General features: G+C 42.5%; 1 long non-coding RNA gene across 1 annotated transcript in view, besides 3 other annotated features; it reads right to left on the bottom strand.

The window, feature by feature from the left end:
* IL12A-AS1 (IL12A antisense RNA 1) overlaps positions 1 to 19,209 on the bottom strand; it is a 293,693-nt gene that overhangs the window by 257,209 nt on the left and 17,275 nt on the right. Inside the window, exons 2-3 of the long non-coding RNA NR_108088.1 lie at positions 18,190 to 18,326; positions 16,590 to 16,731 (exon numbers count right to left, since the gene is read on the bottom strand). This is a non-coding gene — a long non-coding RNA (IL12A antisense RNA 1). The remainder of the gene's footprint in view (positions 1 to 16,589; positions 16,732 to 18,189; positions 18,327 to 19,209) is intronic.
* Positions 7,856 to 8,452: an enhancer, noted in NCBI's record as "H3K27ac hESC enhancer chr3:159896251-159896847 (GRCh37/hg19 assembly coordinates)". NCBI's record gives its function as "activates a minimal SCP1, AML or CMV promoter by ChIP-STARR-seq in naive H9 embryonic stem cells {active_cell/tissue: H9 hESC(naive)}" and the evidence as "EXISTENCE:reporter gene assay evidence [ECO:0000049][PMID:30033119]".
* Positions 8,453 to 9,048: an enhancer, noted in NCBI's record as "NANOG-H3K27ac hESC enhancer chr3:159896848-159897443 (GRCh37/hg19 assembly coordinates)". NCBI's record gives its function as "activates a minimal SCP1, AML or CMV promoter by ChIP-STARR-seq in naive H9 embryonic stem cells {active_cell/tissue: H9 hESC(naive)}" and the evidence as "EXISTENCE:reporter gene assay evidence [ECO:0000049][PMID:30033119]".
* Positions 9,874 to 10,168: a silencer, noted in NCBI's record as "tiled region #14309; K562 Repressive non-DNase unmatched - State 21:Repr". NCBI's record gives its function as "represses a minimal TATA promoter and a strong SV40 promoter by Sharpr-MPRA in K562 cells {active_cell/tissue: K562}" and the evidence as "EXISTENCE:reporter gene assay evidence [ECO:0000049][PMID:27701403]".

Genomic DNA, 19,209 nt, shown 5'->3' on the forward strand with positions numbered 1-19,209 from the left:
TTGCCTCTGAAACTCTACAGTCTCTTTCAGTTCAAAATACTCAGCATGCTAAGGTGCCATACTTAGCAGTATCACAATCTGTGCCCCAACACATCTCATTCTTTCCAGTACCTCACTGAGCTGATAATTCATCTACCCTACTGCCTTTTAACTGTCTCTCAGCCCCTCTTCTCCTCACTGCTCTCTTTATCCAGTTTAAATCCCACGGTCAACCTCAGCTCTCTGCCTACTGTGCCTGTGCCCACACAGCTGAAGAAGTCCAGAGAAAACACACAAGGCTTCAAGGAATTGAATGGGTGAGCCATCCAATATCTGAAACTATGAACAGCATGTGCAAAGGCCCTGGGGCATAAGATTGCACAGAGACATTGAGGATTAACAGAAGGCCAGGCAGCTGAGAAGAATGAGGAAAGGGGAACATAACCAAAAATGTGGTCATAGAAGTGAATAGGAAGCCAGATCAGTTAGGGTTTTGCAGGCCATGATAAAGACTGCTTTCTCTCTGAGTGAGATGGGGAGCTTTTCGAAGGTTTTGAAAAGAGTGACATCAACTGACTTCTACCTGTAGAGGTTCCTCTGGCTGTGGTGCTGAAAATAGATGACAGGATGTAAGGGCAGGAGCAGAGAGACCATTTAGATGTGGGGGTTTCGATCAGTCTGATAGCTGTGCAGGGAAGGGACAGTCTGATTCTGGATCTATTTAGAAGGTAAACAGGATGTGAGGATGACTGATTGGATGTGGGATGTGAGAGAATGGGAGTGATTATTCCACGTTGTTCATTTTTGTTTGTTTACTTTTTCACTAACATAAATGAAAGGGTGGTGAAACCATCTACTGAGATGAGGAAGACTGTGGGTAGAGCAGGGTTTATTTTGGGGGAGAGCCTCAGGTAAATTCTAAATCTCAGTGAGGCCATTCTTGACCACCATCTTTTAAATTATACTCCCACCCCAGCTCTCTGCATCCCTTTCCCTGCAATATTTTTATCTACAGCACAGATAAAGGAGAGTCTGCCTACACTGCCCCTCCTGCCCCTACCTTGGCCAGGGAGAATTGGACACCTCCATTTCCAGTCTGTCTGAGGATGTGCTCAATGGAGAGTGAGGGTCCAGGAAGAAATGGAGAGGGAATGAAAGCTGAGGAGGTCAGTAAAAACAGACGTCCATTTCACAAGCTGTAAACAGAAGATAAATCATTCCCTTTCCATTTATTTCTTTTTAAAATCTGTTACAGCTGCAAGAACAATAAATATACTTTCTTCCCTATCAGGGATTTAAACCTGAAGCTCATAAGATGAGGTTCTGATATGCTGCTACCACATCCTTTTCCTGCTTTCTACTGAAACAGGTGACCTTAGCAAATTGGCATCTTCTGGAACAGCAAGGTTCCTTCCGAGGTGTGGATTTGGCTAGGGGCCAATCAATGTGGCCTGGCTATAATTTCATTTTGACTTTAAGAACTTCAGTTGGACCAAATTAATACCTCGCTCCATTAAAAACCATCTCAGGTCATGTATCTTCTCGTTCTTTTTGGCAGTCATCTCTCCAGAGACTTTAGATGATGTCTTTTCACAATTAATATCCATGTTATACCTTCCTTTTGCAAATCGAGGCAACAAGTCATTTGATCCTCATGAAGTAAACCCCAGCTCACCCTTTTTGACTGCATATGCCTGCCTTTGAGCACACCCACACCTGAATGGGGGACCCAAAGGCAAATAATATTCTGAAATATCAAACCAATATATTCTTTCTCCATTATCTCTGTGTAGCACACTTTGTTGACGTAGAGCATAGAGATTTTCCATAGTCTCTGATAGATGCTGGAATTCGGACAAAAGCCACCACATTTGGGGCCTTCACAGCCAGAGGCAAATGGCTGAGCTGGAGGCTTCAAATACATGCCATCAGATGCTCTAGAAGACCCAATGGGGCCAGCTGCCCCTCTGCATGCGTCAGCTTAGGGGCCTGTCCGTGCATCTGCTCAGGGATCTGACAGGGCATCAGCTTAGAGGCCTGTCCATGCATATGCTCAAGGATCTGTATATGCATCTGCTCAGGGATCTGACCCTGTATCAGCTTAGGGGCCTGTCCATGCATCTGCTCTGGAATCTGACCCTGCATCATCTTAGGGGCCTGTCCATGCATCTGCTCTGGAATCTGACCCTGCATCAGCTTAGTGGCCTGTCCATGCATCTGCTCTGGAATCTGACCCTGCATCAGCTTAGGGGCCTGTCCATGCATCTGCTCAGGGATCTGTCTAGGCGTCTGCTTAGAGGTCTATCCATGCATCTGCTCAGGGATCTGTCTAGGCGTCTGCTTAGAGGTCTATCCATGCATCTGCCTTGGGATCTGTCTATTCATCTGCTTAGGGGCCTGTCCCTGCATCTGCCCAGGGATCTGACCATGTATCAGCTTAGGGGGTCTATCCATGCATCTCCTCTCTGGAATCTGACCATGTATCAGCTTAGGAGCTTGTCCATGCATCCACTCAGGGATCTGTGTATGCATTTGCTTAGGGGCCTGTCCAGAGCAGACAATCAGCAACAGACCACTAAGAATGTAGAGGACACTCATGAATCTAGAATCATCTATATTCCCAGATATTACCTTGGAGAGGATTTGGGGAAGGAAAGTATATTACTTGTTTTTATTTTATTTATTTACTATTATTATTATTTTTTGAGACAGAGTTTCATTCTTGCTGCCCAGGCTGGAGTGCAATGGTGCGGTCTCAGCTCACTGTAACCTTCACCTCCCGGGTTCAAGCAATTCTCCTGCCTCAGCTTCCCAAGTAGCTGGGATCACAGGTGCCTGCCACCACACCTGGCTAATTTCTTTGTATTTTTAGTAGAGAGGGGGTTTCACCATGTTGGCCAGGCTGGTCTCAAACTCCTGACCTCAGATGATCTGCCCGCCTCAGCCTACCATCCACTCCTAAATGTGCTCAGCCTATCCTCCCAGCATATATATTTATTGTGTGCAAAAACCGCAATAAAGACTCTGGCCCACGCTTTTATCTCACTCCTTCTGCCCCTTTACCAACCCTGGTGCTTCCCCACGTGGCCCTGAGTGGCATGGCATCCCTCCTCCTCTGGGGAAGTGTAAGTAATACACTATTCTCTCAAGGCAATTGTCTCCATGCCAGTCACCTTACCATACCTGATCAAACAAATCCCAGGTACATTTTTTTTTTTTTTTTTTTTTTTTGAGACGGAGTCTTGCTCTGTCACCAGGCTGGAGTGCAATGGCTTGATCTTGGCTCACTGCAACCTCTGACTCCCTGGTTCAAGGGATTTTCCCGCCTCAGCCTCCCGAGTAGCTGGGATTACAGGCACCCGCCACCATGCCCAGCTAATTTTTATATTTTTAGTAGAGACGGGGTTTCACCATGTTGGTCAGGATGGTCTCCATCTCCTGACCTCGTGATCTGCCCACCTCAGCCTCCCGAAGTTCTGGGATTACAGGCGTCAGCCACCATGCCCGGCCTTATCCCAGGTACATTTTAAAGTGGGAGATCATCAGAAAGGCTAAACACTTATCCAAAGGAGATAATGTTTCCAAAGGAGGTTGTTTCAAATGGGAGACATCATGATGTTGGCAAGTTAAAGTTTGAGTTGGGATGTGGTGTGTGAAAAAATTTTCCATGCCACAGTTGGGAAGAAATATGGGCTTGCAAGAAGCCCATCATCCAGATGTCAGGAGGCAGAATGAAAGCTGTAAACGGATTAACAAGAAATTGCTGCGTTTCCTTCCATTTGCATTTAAACATGTATGACTGTGACCATGTCTTTAGTCTGTTCATGGCCTTCTTGAGGCACTTTCATATGTCTTATCTCATCTGATCCTCACACAACTGTGAGATGGAGTAGGCAGGTATTATTATTCCAGTTTTATAGATGAGAAAGCCAACATTTGGAGAAGTGGTGGAACATGCGGGATAAGGGCATAAGCTATGGAGCCATTCTGCTAAATCTCAGCGCCACTACTTTCTATCTATGCGACTTGCAATGCATTATTAAGTTCTGTGCTTCAACTTTCTCATCTGTAAAATGGGAATGATAACAGACTCTGTCTCTTAGGACTGCTACACAAAGAGAAGTTATTATTGGGTATCAAGAAATTTTAGCTGAGATTATTTGGCTGATGTAACAGGGACTTCATGAGAAAGAACAAATTTGGAGTTTTCCAAGTTTCCTCGCCCACATTTTTATATTCTTGAGGTTTCTATGACCAAAAAAATGCTTATTAGTTAACAAGGGTATGCTTTTTTAGGGCAGCTAGGTTCCAAGATGTTCCCACGTTTATAAATGGAAGCCAAATTTTTATCAAATCCTATCACTCTTTCAAAGCCAGCTCAAATCTAATCTCTTTTCTTAGGCTTTTCTAGACTGCCCCACTCAGAACTAACTGGCCTCTCCTGTCTTCAAGGTTCTGAAGCAGTTAGAGTGTGAACCCCAGAATTTAACACATAACCAGGCTATACCCAGCATTGGGACCACCTTTACTCTGTGATAACTCCCACTCTCTCTTCCTCAGCAGACCCTATCTCCATGGGATCATCAGCAGGCCAGGAATTATGGGATTTCGTAGTTCATGTCAGTCTCCTGTGTTGCCTCCTATTTCCTGTTTCTAGTGAGAGAATTAAAACAGGAAACAGGAGGCAACATAGGATAATTGGTTACACCTTGCACACACCTTGATAATTCTTGCTCCTGTCACTCAGGGTTTTTCATGGCAAGCAGCAGAAACTAACGCTGGCTGACTTAAACTGAAAAGTAATTCATTAAAAGGAGAAAGGAGTCATGTGCTGGGGCTGGCTTGTTACTGGCTCACAAGAGTCAATTGTGAAATTTTTAAGAATTCTGTGAGCTAGTTGTTAAACATGGCCATTATCAAAAATTAAATTTGGCCTGGCACGGTGGCTCACACCTGTAATCCCAGCACTTTGGGAGGCCAAGGCGGGTGAATCACGAGGTCAGGAGATCGAGACCATCCTGGCTAACACGGTGAAACCCCGTCTCTACTAAAAATACAAAAAATTAGCCGGGCATGGTGGCGGGTGCCTGTAGTTCCAGGTACTCGGGAGGCTGAAGCAGGATAATGGCCTGAACCCGGGAGGCGGAGCTTGCAGTGAGCCGAGATTGCACCACTGCATTCCAGCCTGGGTGACAGAGCAAGACTCTGTCTCAAGAAAAAAAAAGAAAAAAAAATTAAATTTATAAACTTACAATTAGGCCAGATGTGGTGGCTCACACCTGTAATACTAGCACTTTGGGAGGCCGAGGTGAGTGGATCACTTGAGGTCAGGAGTTTGAAACCAGCCTGGCCAACATGGTGAAAACACGTCTCTACTAAAAGTGCAAAAAAAGTAGCCATGCATGGTGGTGAGCACCTGTAATCCCAGCTACTTGGGAGGCTGAGGCAGGATAATCACTTGAACCTTGGAGGTGAAGGTTGTTGTGAGCCAAGATTGTGCCACTGCACTCCAGCCTGGGTGACAGAGTGAGACTCTATCTCAAAAAATAAATAAATAAAAAGTAAACTTACAATTAAATAAATTATATCAAAATCAAAGATAATAAATGCTCGAAACTCATCACTTCTTAAATATCTTTCTAGATTTTATTGGCATCTATACTGTCGAGGCTATGACATGTATTGTGTCTGTGTGGTGGAAATACCATATAGCAATGTGCTGTTGTATTTTTCTTTCCAGCTTCATGTTGACTGACGTTACACTGGTAGCTTGAGCTCAGCAGTGGTGAGCATATTTATACCGCAGGAATCAGCAGACACTTCAAGTCAAATGGTTTGTATTTGTTTTTATCCTCAAAGAAGCTACTGGCTGTTAAACATTTGCCCTGGCACACCAGTGGTATTGGGTAGCTCCCCAAGTCTCTAGAAGGGCTGAAGGACTGGGTTTAGATTCCTCAGTCAGGACCAAACTACAGTCAGATCAATACCCCAGGACCAGTTAACATAATTTGCAGGTCTATTGTTCAAATTTATTAAGAATTTTAAGACAGGAATAGCAGAGCATTAAACCAAGTGTGGAGCCCTTCTAAGTGCAGGGCAGTTGGGACTGTAGAGACTACTGCCCATGAAGCCAGCCTTGCAATACCCAAGCCACACTGCAGACCAAAGACCCCCCTTCCATAGCTGCTAAGACTGCAGCCTCCACCTCAATTCCATGTATACCCTTCACTGGACGCTGATTTGGAACCGCTGCTTCTCGCAAAGTCTCTGTTGCCAGGCTGGAGTGCAATGGCACCACCTTGGCTCATCCTTCTTTTACACACTATTTTTTAGCATCTGTTGATATGTCTACCTGAATTAATAATTACTATGATGGCTGCCACATTGTGACTTTTTAAACCCCAACACTCCTCTGGGTTTATTAGTTGGCATTCTGCTATGATTAAGAGCTTTCTGTCCTCTCTGTTTATTTATTCATTTGTTTATTTGATGCAAGGATAGGCAAACTATGATGCATGGGCCAAATCTGGACTTCTGCCTGTTTTTGCAAATAAAGTTTTATTGGAACACAGCCACACACTCACCTATTGTCTGTGGCTGCTTTTGTGTTACAATGGCAGAGTTGAATAGTTGTGACAGAGGCTGTATGGCTTATCAAGACTAAAATATTTATTATCCAACCCTTTGTAGGAAAAGCCAAGTCCTGATTTGTATCATGTGGACTTGTGGATTCTTATTTTGCCCCATTACTATCATTTATTATTTGTTTTGATGCTCAAATTGTTCTAGATTTGGCCACCGAAAGCCCCTTCAAGCTGGTTTCTGTGTCCCTTTGACAAATTTTCATCATTCTTTGAACTCATCCTTACTTTCTGATACAACAAGACGTTCTAGGTTTATCTTTTACTTTTCCTGCTTCTGCCATGAAATCAGCCATTTCTCCATGGAGCCCTAGTTCATTTTACTTGGGAAGGATATTTGGAAACCAATGTCAGGGCACAAGGTTGTCATTACCTTTGGGATGTTGCTGGAAGACACGAGAGAAGTCACTGTTACAGATCTAAAATTGGAAATCATTAGCATGTAGATGATCCATTAAGCTATGGGACCGGGTAAGATCACTCAGGGAGGAGATCAGAGAAAAGTGGGCCAGCCTAGAGCCAGGCTTTCCAATATTACAGGAAAATAGTTTGAGAAAAAGATATTTGCAATAATGAGTTTCAGGATTTTAGTATCAATATCTACAAAGAGCTTATATATGAAACAATTAAGACCCCCACTGATGAGTAAAGGGTCATATCAGCTCAGTCACATAATTAAAATGGGAATTAGTAAATGAAAATGAGAAAGAATATTCAACCTCGTTCACGAAAGAAATGCAAATTAAAGCAAGATGCAGTAAATTCTCAATGTCCTTATAGGTCCTTGGAAACTGTGACTTTAAGCAAAGTGACATACGGCAGTCCTAGAATAACATTGTTTCCCTCAATGTGATTTGTTATAAAACTGATGAGGGAAAAAATTGTTTTATTATACATCATTTTGCTTAAGGTCATAGTTTCCTAGAACCTATCCATGACATTAAGTGAGGACTTACTATATGGTTTTGGGTAATTATCTTGGTTCTTTTTTTTTCAGCTTTTTAATTGGATAGTTTTCACATTTATAGAAAAGTGAGGTTTCGTTGTGTTGGCCGGGCTGGTCTCCAGCTCCTAACCGCGAGTGATCCGCCAGCCTCGGCCTCCCGAGGTGCCAGGATTGCAGACGGAGTCTGGCTCACTCAGTGCTCAATGGTGCCCAGGCTGGAGTGCAGTGGCGTGATCTCGGCTCGCTACAACCTCCACCACCCAGCCGCCTGCCTTGGCCTCCCAAAGTGCCGAGATTGCAGCCTCTGCCCGGCCGCCACCCCGTCTGGGACGTGAGGAGCCCCTCTGCCTGGCTGCCCAGTCTGGAAAGTGAGGAGCGTCTCTGCCCGGCCTCCATCCCATCTAGGAAGTGAGAAGCGCCTCTTCCCGGCCGCCATCCCATCTAGGAAGTGAGGAGCGTCTCTGCCCAGCCGCCCATCGTCTGAGATGTGGGGAGCACCTCTGCCCCGCCGCCCCGTCTGGGATGTGAGGAGCGCCTCTACCCGGCCGCCCCGTCTGAGAAGTGAGGAGACCCTCCGCCTGGCAACCGCCCCATCTGAGAAGTGAGGAGCCCCTCCGCCCGGCAGCCACCCCGTCTGGGAAGTGAGGAGCGTCTCCGCCCGGCAGCCGCCCCGTCCGGGAAGGAGGTGGGGGGGTCAGCCCCCCGCCCGGCCAGCCGCCCCGTCCGGGAGGGAGGTGGGGGATCAGACCCCCGCCCGGCCAGCCGCCCCGTCCGGGAGGGAGGTGGGGGGGTCAGCCCCCCGCCCAGCCAGCTGCCCCGCCCGGGAGGTGAGGGGCGCCTCTGCCCGGCCGCCCCTACTGGGAGGTGGGGAGCCCCTCTGCCCGGCCACCACCCCGTCTGGGAGGTGTGCCCAGCAGCTCATTGAGAACGGGCCATGATGACCATGGCGGTTTTGTGGAATAGAAAGGGGGGAAAGGTGGGGAAAACATTGAGAAATCGGATGGTTGCCGTGTCTGTGTAGAAAGAGGTAGACATGGGAGTCTTTTCACTTTGTTCTGTACTAAGAAAAATTCTTATCCTGTTGATCTGTGACCTTACCCCCAACCCTGTGCTCTCTGAAACATGTGCTGTGTCCACTCAGGGTTAAATGGATTAAGGGCGGTGCAAGATGTGCTTTGTTAAACAGATGCTTGAAGGCAGCATGCTGGTTAAGAGTCATCACCACTCCCTAATCTCAAATACCCAGGGACACAAACACTGCGGAAGGCCGCAGGGTCCTCTGCCTAGGAAAACCAGAGACCTTTGTTCACTTGTTTATCTGCTGACCTTCCCTCCACTATTGTCCTATGACCCTGCCAAATCCCCCTCTGTGAGAAACACCCAAGAATGATCAATAAAATAAATAAATAAATAAATAAATAAATAAATAAATAAAAACACACACACACAAAAAAAAAGACAAGTGAACAGAAGAGAGTGGTGAGCACCTGTATACATGTCTTAGTTTGTTTTGTGAAGCTATAACAGAATTCATAAGACAGGGTAATTTATAATAAACAGAAATTTATTGAACCGCAGTTCAGGAGGCTGGGAAATCCAATATCAAAATTCTGGCACCTCGAAAATCTTGCAGCCTCATAACATGGTGGAAGGGCAGAAAGAGGGAGAGGGGAGAGAGAGACAAAAGGGGGCCGAACACATCCTTTTATAAAGGACACACTCCCAAGGTAAAGGCATTAATACATTGATGATGGCAGAGCACCTCATGGCCTAACCACTTCTCAAATATCCCACTGTTACAGCGGCAATTAAATTTCCACTTTGGTTTGACCAAATTTTCTTCACGCAACAGTTCTTACTCCAGTAATAGAATACAGCTTATTTTGTCATATTTTGCAATTAAAATTTTAACATTGTTTAAGAGTATACAGCAATGTCTAGGAACTTATCCAACCAAAACACTTGGTCAAGCCTGCAAATAAATATGAACAAAAATATTTATTTTACTCCTTTTTATGATATTGAAATATTGGAAACAACCCAAATATTCTTTAGTAAGATTCCAATTAATGTGTGTTACTTCCATACAATACTGTGCAGCTTTTAACAAGAATGAGATACATTTAAAGATGAGGAAAAAGTCTCATATGTAGTATTAAGTGTAAAAGTAAGATGCCAAACTTTGTGTCTACTCTAATTCCCACTTTAGAAAATGAATGCATATCTTAGTATATGTATAGAAAGAAATCCAGAGAAATAATCCACAAACTGTTAACAGTAGTTATGAGAAAGGAATAATAGGTGACTTTGAATTCCTAAATTATACATCTCTGGATTGTTTGAATTATTTACAAGCACTTATTCACTTCTATATCAGAAGAAAACAATATATTGTTTAAGTCGGCAGAAGGAGCAAAGCCTGTCAGACGCGGAGCAGGATGCAGATTGAATGTGGCTCGGCTCCCCTAGCCTGTTAACTGCTGCCTCATTTCCTGGCAGTAGAGTTTTAGGACTGGCTGACTCTTGATGCGTCCTCCTGCCAACAGGACGTTGGCAAGCAAGGACATTAAAAATCTTCCTTGAGATAATCCTAACAAAACCCTAAAAGGGATTACAACTTGGAAATATGGCCAAAGGGAAAGATCCGTAAAAAACATTCATCCCCCAAATCTCTATCCATGGAAGGAAATGTAGCCATTAAGCCAGTGAAAGGAGTTAGGATCATTATGCAATCACACTGGTTTGGCTGCAGAGAAAATGAGAGGCGTTAAGTGTAATTCATCTTTAGAGAACTCCCTTCCCATCCGGCCTCAGGACCTACATAGCCATAAAAGCGACAGAGATAAGATAAATAATCACTAGGATGGCTGACACTTTTACAGTGATCCATAAATTTTAGTCGCTTACACGCATTTTAAACCACATTGCATGTCTGCTCCTTCCAAAAACTCTGGGATGCCAGTTTTTCAGATGAGGAGGACATTGGTAAGTCACACAGCAGGACCAGACACAGGGTTTCTCACAGCCACTAGCAAACAGGACTGCTTTTGACATCATCCTGGAATTAACTGGAATAATAATGAAGACAATCTATTTTTAAGCAAATGTATCTCTTCCTGAAAAGCTAGATAAACAATATATCCATTAAAGAAAAAGACTGATATTAGGTGAACAATGCAGAAAATGCAAGGGAAACTGAGGCACAAATAAAGCCATAGGTGAAGGGAAGCATTTGCCAGACCATCTTCTCCTGGATCTCAGGGAGTGGTGCAGAGTAGATTCAAGTGTGGTGACAATGCTCTGGAAGGTCTCCATCGTATGGGCACATGGGATGGTTTTATCTCCAAACCAGCTCATGTTAGCCTTGGCACCACCAAAGTGGGCCTGACGTGCAGAGTTGAGAGTGGGGCCTCTGGGAAAGGCAATCTCCCCATCTCATTTTGGAGGGCTATATTTTCCTTCCCTGGAAGTCTCAGAGAAAATGACCTGCATGGCACCATTTTTGTGAAATTATATTATGTCCTGAGACTTGCCACAAACAACTCCTCAAACCAAGTCCAAATAGCAAAATTCTCCAATTTTTTTTAATGCAGCAAAGCTGAATATCATCTTCTTACATACATCTCCTCTATTTGCTGAAGGTAACTTTGCTTTGTTTATTTTTTATGGGAAGTTCACTATTGTCTAAACACTAGAGTGTCACTTGAAGTTGGCTGCAGAGTAGTTTACTTTTGGGTGATCATATGCAACATCCAAATGTTTATCAGCATAGGGTCAAATTTACTTAAGTTAAGCTATGGCATTCCATTCTGTTTTTCTCATCTGGTTAAAAAATAATTCAGAGGATTTTTTTCAAACTTAAAGAAATTATGGATAATCCCTTTTTTCTATTTTTACTTGTAATGAATTTGTACTTCAATAAGTCTTAGAGTATCAATTTATTCTTTCCTTTTAAAATATGTGCAGATATATGTACAAGGATTTTGCCCTTGTTGGTAACAGCAGAATATTGCTCATAAGTAGGGAACTGGTTAAACAAATTGTTATATGTCCAAATATGAAATAAGTTGATGTAGAACTACCTCCAAGATATATTGTTAAATTAAAAAAAAGTGGAATAGCAAGTATATTATGCTACCCTTTGTATTTTGTTTTTAAAAGAATAGATATATAAATGCTTATATATGCAAAAAATTCTAAAAGCATAGACACACCGGATTGGTTAGAGTATGTTCTTGGAAGGAAGTGAGATGGGTGACGTGAGTGTTTGCCCTGCTAGAGAGACTAACTTTTCATTATATATTCTTCAATATTGTTGGAGTGTTTACCATTTATATTATTATCCTTTGAATTTTTTCATGTTTTACACCCTTTGGTATGTTTGGTAAACCTAGCTCAGCTAAAAAGTTTAAAAATGCAATTCAAATACTCTAACAATTTTTGTTCAAATACAATAGTAATGGCATATAATTACAACTTTGTTTAATTCATAAAACTTTGGTCAGAGTTGTAATTATATGCTATTATAATTATATAATAATAAAGTTATTCTAAGATTTCAAGGCTGGGCATGGTGGCTCATGTCTGTAATCTCTGCATTTTGGGATGCCAAGGTAGGAAGTTTGCTTGAATCCAGGAGTTCAAGACCAACCTGGGCAACACAGTGAGATCCCATCTCTACAAAAAAAAAAAAGCCAGGTGTTGTAGCATGTGACTGTATTCCCAGCTACTAGGGATGCTTAATTGGGAGGATCCCTTGAGCCCAGGAGGTGGAGGCTGTAGTGAGCCATGATCAGGCCACTGCACTCCAGCCTGGGCAACAGAGCAAGACCTTATCTCAAAAAAAAATTTTTTTTCAATTTCTTCATCTCTAAAACAGAGACACTATTATAAAGGGTGATGAATAACATTTGTAACATTTGGTACATACTCATATGCAAAATAACTAAGATGGAGTTTTGCAGGGGCAGTTCACTCTTGGATAAAAATGAAACTGAGTTCAACTGCAAAAAGCAATAACATCTCTCTATATTGGACATTTGTCACTTACTCATCATTGGATCATTCAGGTTGAATTGGACTTGACTTATGGTGATCAATTGTGTCCTTTTGTATTACAGGACCAAATTCATTATCAGATCCTTGGGGACTAAGTTTAACATTAAATTTGTTTGCAGCAGTAGACGAATTTATAATCTGCCTGTCAGTTCATTCCACTGCCTAGTCATTCTTCTGCCCATACAATTAATTTAGCTAAAGAAACGGTAATAAATATATCTTAAAATTGTGATGGCGTGTTATCGTTTACAAAACACTCTTACATATTTTATGCATTAGACCCTCTTAGCAACATTGCTGGGGAGGCTAGACAGACAGTATTGTCTGCTTTGCAGATGGCCACAGTTAGCTGTTCACCTAATCAGGAAGTGGAGAGCTAAGATTAGAAGCTGGGTTCTTACCATCCCATTCTACTACTTATACATATTTTACAGTATTTATGTGAGAGTTCAGAAAAGGATGTGTTTGTATAAAAAATCTATTGTGTTAAATTAAAATATAAGGACAATATGCCAACTCCCTAATTTCTGTTTTTTCTGAGTAGAATTCACATGACATTGTTTCATTTGCAGTTTGAACCTACCTTGACAACTATATCTAAACTCACATGAGTAGCCAAAGAGTGTTCTTCTGTGATGGGGAACCATTCATTTTCATAGTCTCATTTATGACTCATGGATTTGTGTGGGTGTTGAAAAGAAAAATCCAAAGAAATAGGAACAGGAAAAGATTTCTTTCTACATTTAAATATAAATAATAGAAAGAGGCTGAGCTAAGTTATAAATAACAGTGAAGTGAAATGTTCTCTGGAAAATCCATGGCAATAGCATTACTGCTGCCTGAGAAATGTCACTAGTTAAAATTCTGGTCTGAAAAAACTTGTTCATTGTAAAATAAATGCTTTTTTATTATTATTATTATATCAGATCGTTGTCCTGAATTTTCCCAGGCCAACAAATGTAATCATTGGTTTCATACATTTCAGTGATTCAGGATGTATGGTTTAAAAATGTATCATATTAGGAAGAGCAACTCAGACTATCATTTGGTGTGTGGTTCTGGATTGATGCAGATTTTCACTATTTTTTGCAGCAAGTGTGAAGTCATGTTTATTATTTTGCACATTAAGCAGTTCTTGTCATGACAAGGAAAATAGTATTAGATTAAAACTATCATCATGATTATTCTTATACACATATGCTAATAAAGACATTAAATGGCATACACAAGACTAGAATCTGGGAACTTTGACAGTAGCCAAGGTGTTGATGAGATTTTGTTAGAGCATTTTCCAAAATTTAGTGAAGTTCAGTAATTTAGATTGTTTTGGGACATTATCCAGCTTGTTAGCAGAAGAAATAACCTAATCTGGGAAGGGAAAATATCACAAGAAATCTTGTATAAGAACTGAAGTAAATGCCTTTCTTCATAACTTAAAAGGAAATACTTGCTCACAGCAGAATATTTCTCATCTCTTTTGTTTGGTTCCAACTTGCAGAGTCATCTGGCTTCTAAAATGGTTTCAGAGCCAGAGATGGTAAGTTTCCAAGCCAGAAAGAAACTCCCCTTATCTTTAAATACATGCCTTTTCAGAATGTGAACCTCAAAAGCCAATTGCATAATTGTGTTTCAAATTTTTAAAAGTTTCCGTCCGATATATTTAGCAAGGCTTAAGCATCCATTTGATGACTCCACATGAATTATTGTAACAGTCATGTAATCATGCACAGTGTTCATAAATAACTCCATCTCTTCCTACAGACGCTCTGAGAATGCTAGAGATCCCATGTCCATAGGAGACTGTTGGTTGCAGGGAAGGAGGTAAAGGACAGCTGAGGGGGACCCTTTAAAGTGTGAATGGTCTTCGTGGTTTTTTTTTCTATTCTTTGAGATTGATTCAGCTAACCTAAGCTAAAGGAAAACTAATTACCTTGTGTTTGCAGTAATGCAGAGTTTACCTAGTATTCTGAAATGTTAACCAACTTCTAAGATTAACATTTGTCAGCCTGTTATTGAAAATTGTCCAAAATATCTATGTGGATCATAGTCTGTGGCTATTATCCTGGGTGATGGGTTATAGAGAACAGGGCTACTCCATGGAAATGTTAGCAATGAAAAAAAAAAAAACAGTAAGCAAATATATATTATTAGAGCCACAACATGCAATAGTGCAGAGGTACAAGTACGCAAGCATAAAAGAGCATGCTGTTACTAAAGGCCAGCTAACACAGGAGATCAGAAATCCAGATAGCTAATCTACAGTTTAAAGGAAAGTCAAGCAAGCACTCACAGGTCTGAAAGCCAGACAACAGGTACATATGAGCAGAGGCCCATGTGAATAGAGCAGGGACTACAGATCAGATGCTGAGGCAAAATTTCATGTATGCTCTCCACTAAGATGGGAAATCTCCCACTCAGAGTGTGCAGTCTTTTAATTGCCATGTAGACTTATGTTCACCTAAATTAATTTTGCAACCAGGATAAATTGAGTTATGCATTATGGCTCTTCCCCCATGACTTCCCAAGCTCAGTTCTCATCTTTGGCTAGTAGCAAATGGACAAATTTACACAAGTGTTGGGACAGCTGATAGGTGTTTAAAAGTCAGGAGATAAGCAGTCCACTCATGCCTCAGAGGTGGAACCAAGGTGCCTGAGTGCTTGGCTTGCATGAACCTGAGGAGGTTGCTATAGAAATGTTATCACATTGCTGGGATCATTGGAGTACCTAATGGAACTTGAATCTCAAAGTCCACAGGAAGTATGATTAGAAAGGACTTTTCTTGGCTGCTGCATGTTGACAAGGCAGCTACTTAATGCATCTGATTGCATGTGGCTAGCTACCTCTGAGAACCTGGGTAGGGAGGCAGACCATGTCACAAGGATCCTAGTGATTTCTCATTAACAAGGAGGGGTCTGGAGCCACTAAGACTGAATACAAGGGGAAGGGTAGGGAGTGCTTACAGGCACAGATCTTAGTCTCTATATAGGGGCAATACTATTGTTTTCATTGATTTCCTTGGGCCTGTGGTTAGAGCAGGGCCTACCCTACAGATTTCAGGTTAAGAAATGTTGAGCACAAAGGAAAGATCAGAGGTTATTAGAGGTGAAAATAAATAGGGAAGGAGTTGGGGCCAGGGGAGAAAGGACAAATCCGGCATGCAGAAATCCAAAACATGGAGGAGCTTCCCAGATCCAGGTAGTAGGATAGCTTGAATATCAAATTTCAGGCAGGCAAAGGGCAGGCAGAGAGAGACAGATGTGTCAAGATAGTTCTGAGATGGAGCCATGTGTCTGACCCGATTGTCTTATCCCAAAACTCCTTGGTTATTCCTTGCCAAAGAACTATTGCTTCAGCATGAAGAAAGAGCTATACTTCACCGACAAGGTGGATTTTCATAATGTGTACCTATTGAAGGTAAAATGTGCAGTTACCCAAGGAAAAGCATGAAACAAAAGGAAAAACAAACATGTCTACATCCATTTCAATCAGGGTCCATAGGAGTTAGAGCTAAAAAGAGATTCTGAAAGTTTTATAATCCAGCCTTTCATTTTACAGAGTGCAACTGAGGTCCTGGGAGGCCAAGTGACTTGTCTGAGTACACACAGTGAGTGACAGTGGTAGGAATGGAACTTGCCCCACCTGACATTCTGGCCAATGTTCTTTCCATTGCCCAGGCTTTCAATATTCACAGAATGTTGTGATTAAGGAATATGTCTCCAGAGCTTCCTCAAGCAGAGTAGCATAAATTCAAAATCCCAGAGAAGAGACAAAGGGGAACACCTCTGAACACTAAGAAGTTGAATGAAAAGGACAAGTAGTAGAAATTTAGCAAAGACCATTTATGTGTGCCCATGCAAAGGCAGATGCGTGATCTGGGATGTATCCAGAAAACCTTTAGCCGAAAGTAACAGAAATCCCAAGTTCTGGGAACTGAAATGAATAGGGGGTTATTTTTCTCACCTACCAAGATGTCTGGAGATAGGCAGCTGCTGGCAGTGGTTAGGCAGCTGCTGGCAGTGGTTTGGCAGCTTCAGAGGTTGCATCTCTGTGATTCTCAGAAGCTTCCTCCTGGTCACAAGATGGCTGCCATAGCCGCTAACACACATCTAGACAGGAATCGTGTTACATGGCCACTGTTAATTGCAAGAAAGGCTAAGAAAGTAAACATTTAGGCTTGGGTGTTGGGTAAGGCAGTGCCTAAAGGTGGGATGGTAGGTGTCCCAGTGCTCCACCACTCCCATCCCCAAGGCAGACATTACTAATCAACCAGGACACTCCTATCACTAAGCTTGAACTTGGCCTTGAACTCTTCCCAACAGAGTTTTCCAAGCAAGTACTACCAATTAATCAAAACTGGCTCATGAGATGAAACCTATTTGCTCTCCCTGATGCTTTCATAGTAGCTTTGTGGTATGACAAGAAAAGCTCTTTTAACAAAGATGATAATAATAGAGTTTAAATAACCAAATCACAGACACACAGAAAGAGCTGGGTTTGGTCTTCAGTCTTAATTCTTCATTTTACAGCTGAGGAAACTGAAGCCCAGAGTGGCTAGGGGTCTTAATCTTGGTAACACAGCCAGCTAGTTGAATGTGGTCCCTTTCAAGGTAGTTATGTTCAGAGGCTTTATACTCATTCTGATGTTGCTGACACTACTCAAAACATTTCTGAAGCTCCTCTTAGAATGTCTTTCATTTAGTTAATGAGCTGCTACACAAGAAAATTTAGCCCCTCTATTTTGTAGAGGCCTCTGTCTCCTCCCCACCCCTATCCCCACCAAACGATACTGTACAGCTCAAGCACTTATTTATTTAATCATCAAAAATTTATTGAGCATGAGGATGCCAGATCCAGGGTATGACTTGGCTCCAGATGACTCTGGGTTGTTTTGGAAAGTCAAATCCACTCTTGAACGCTTACATTCTCCTGACTACCTCCCCACCTTCCCCTTCCCATCCGCCATCATGCTAAGGCTGGTTCATGAAAAAAGCTGCCTGCTCTAGGCAATTGTTATAGAGTCAACACTGTCCAGTAGAACTTTTTGTGATGATGTAAATGTTCTATAATCTATGCCACCTAATACAGCATGTACTAGACACATGTAGCTATTTAGCACTTGAAATGTGGCTAGTGTGACTGAAAACTGACTTTTTAATTTTATTTCATTTTAGCTATTTAAATTTAAATAGCCGCACATGGCTACTGGCTACCTCATTGAACAGCACAGCATAATACAAGACCCTTCCTCCATTTCCTCTCAAACTAATTCTTTATCTCCCAAATGCCTGACTCAGTCACAACTTCTGTATCTAGTTCTCCTCCCTTCTCTGGAACCTCCATGTGGTTGCTTGGACCTCATTTCTTCTCTGGCTGAACTTCACTTTCTAGTTTTGGCAACTCCATGATTCATAGGGAGAAGCTCTATTCTCTAACCCCAGCCCCATGTACCTTAATGGATGGCCCATCCTGGTCACCACACCCAAAGGGGCCAGAGAGATTCAAACATTTGCTGTCCCACTTGGGGACACTCAAAATAATGTCCTGCTGGGTGCAGTGGCACATACCTGTAGTCCCAGCTACTCCGGACATTGAGATGGGAGGATTGCTTGAGCCCAGGAGTTTGAGGCTGTAGTGCACTATGATCATGCCTGTGAATAGCCGCTACATTCCAGCCTGGACAATATGTCTGAGACTTCATTTCCTTAAAATAAAAATAAAAAATAATGATGATGACGATGCTCTGAGGTGCCTTTGCCCTTTTGGGTGGGAATCACAAATTTTTAATTTTGCCCTGGATCCTGAGACAGCTTTATCCCTGAGGTACGGCTTAGTGGCACTGCAACAAATGGCCCATGAGAAATGCTTCCCTCTGTGAGCACTGTACTCTTGAAAAATAGGACAGGACAACCACTCCTGCTGTTGATATCTTTAGACACCTTAAATAATTGTTCACTCTCTAGAATAAACAATATTTCCGCAGTATAGTGATTTTGTCCTTGGTGCTTTTAGTCGATATGCACCTGTCTAGAGGCGTGGTGCCCTTTCACCTGGCTCTATTGGAATCTGAGATGTTCGAGGCTGGAAAAGAGGCATGGGCTCCCATGGCAGGGTGTTTTCCTAGAACGGCCATCATAACAATAGCTCCCAAGTCATATTCTCCCCGCCGGAGTCTTGGAAGGCCTGTGATTTGGGAATACAGTGACACACTCTTGGAACTCTAAGCTGCCACGTAAGAAGTCCAGCTTCTCTGAGGCTGCCATGTTGTAAGGAGGTGCAATCCAGTGAAGAAGAGACATGTAGATGCTCCAGTTGGCAGTGACAGTCTTCAAGTCCACCCAGCCCAGGCATCAGAGACATGGAAGTTGGAGCCTCAGTTTGCCCTCTGTGTTTTAATCTTCCCAGCTGAGGCCCAAAACATGTGAAGAGAAAATCCATCCCCATCATGTCTGTTTCACATTCTTGGGCTACAGAACTTGTGGGCATAATCAAATGGCTAATGTTTTGTGACACTAAGTTTGGTGTGCTTTGTCATGTGGCAATAGTACTCATGAGCACTCCATAAGCCCCAAGAGACAAGTGAGAAA

Source organism: Homo sapiens, chromosome 3 (assembly GCF_000001405.40).
Source record: "Homo sapiens chromosome 3, GRCh38.p14 Primary Assembly".
In the NCBI taxonomy this organism is placed as follows: Eukaryota; Metazoa; Chordata; class Mammalia; order Primates; family Hominidae; genus Homo; species Homo sapiens.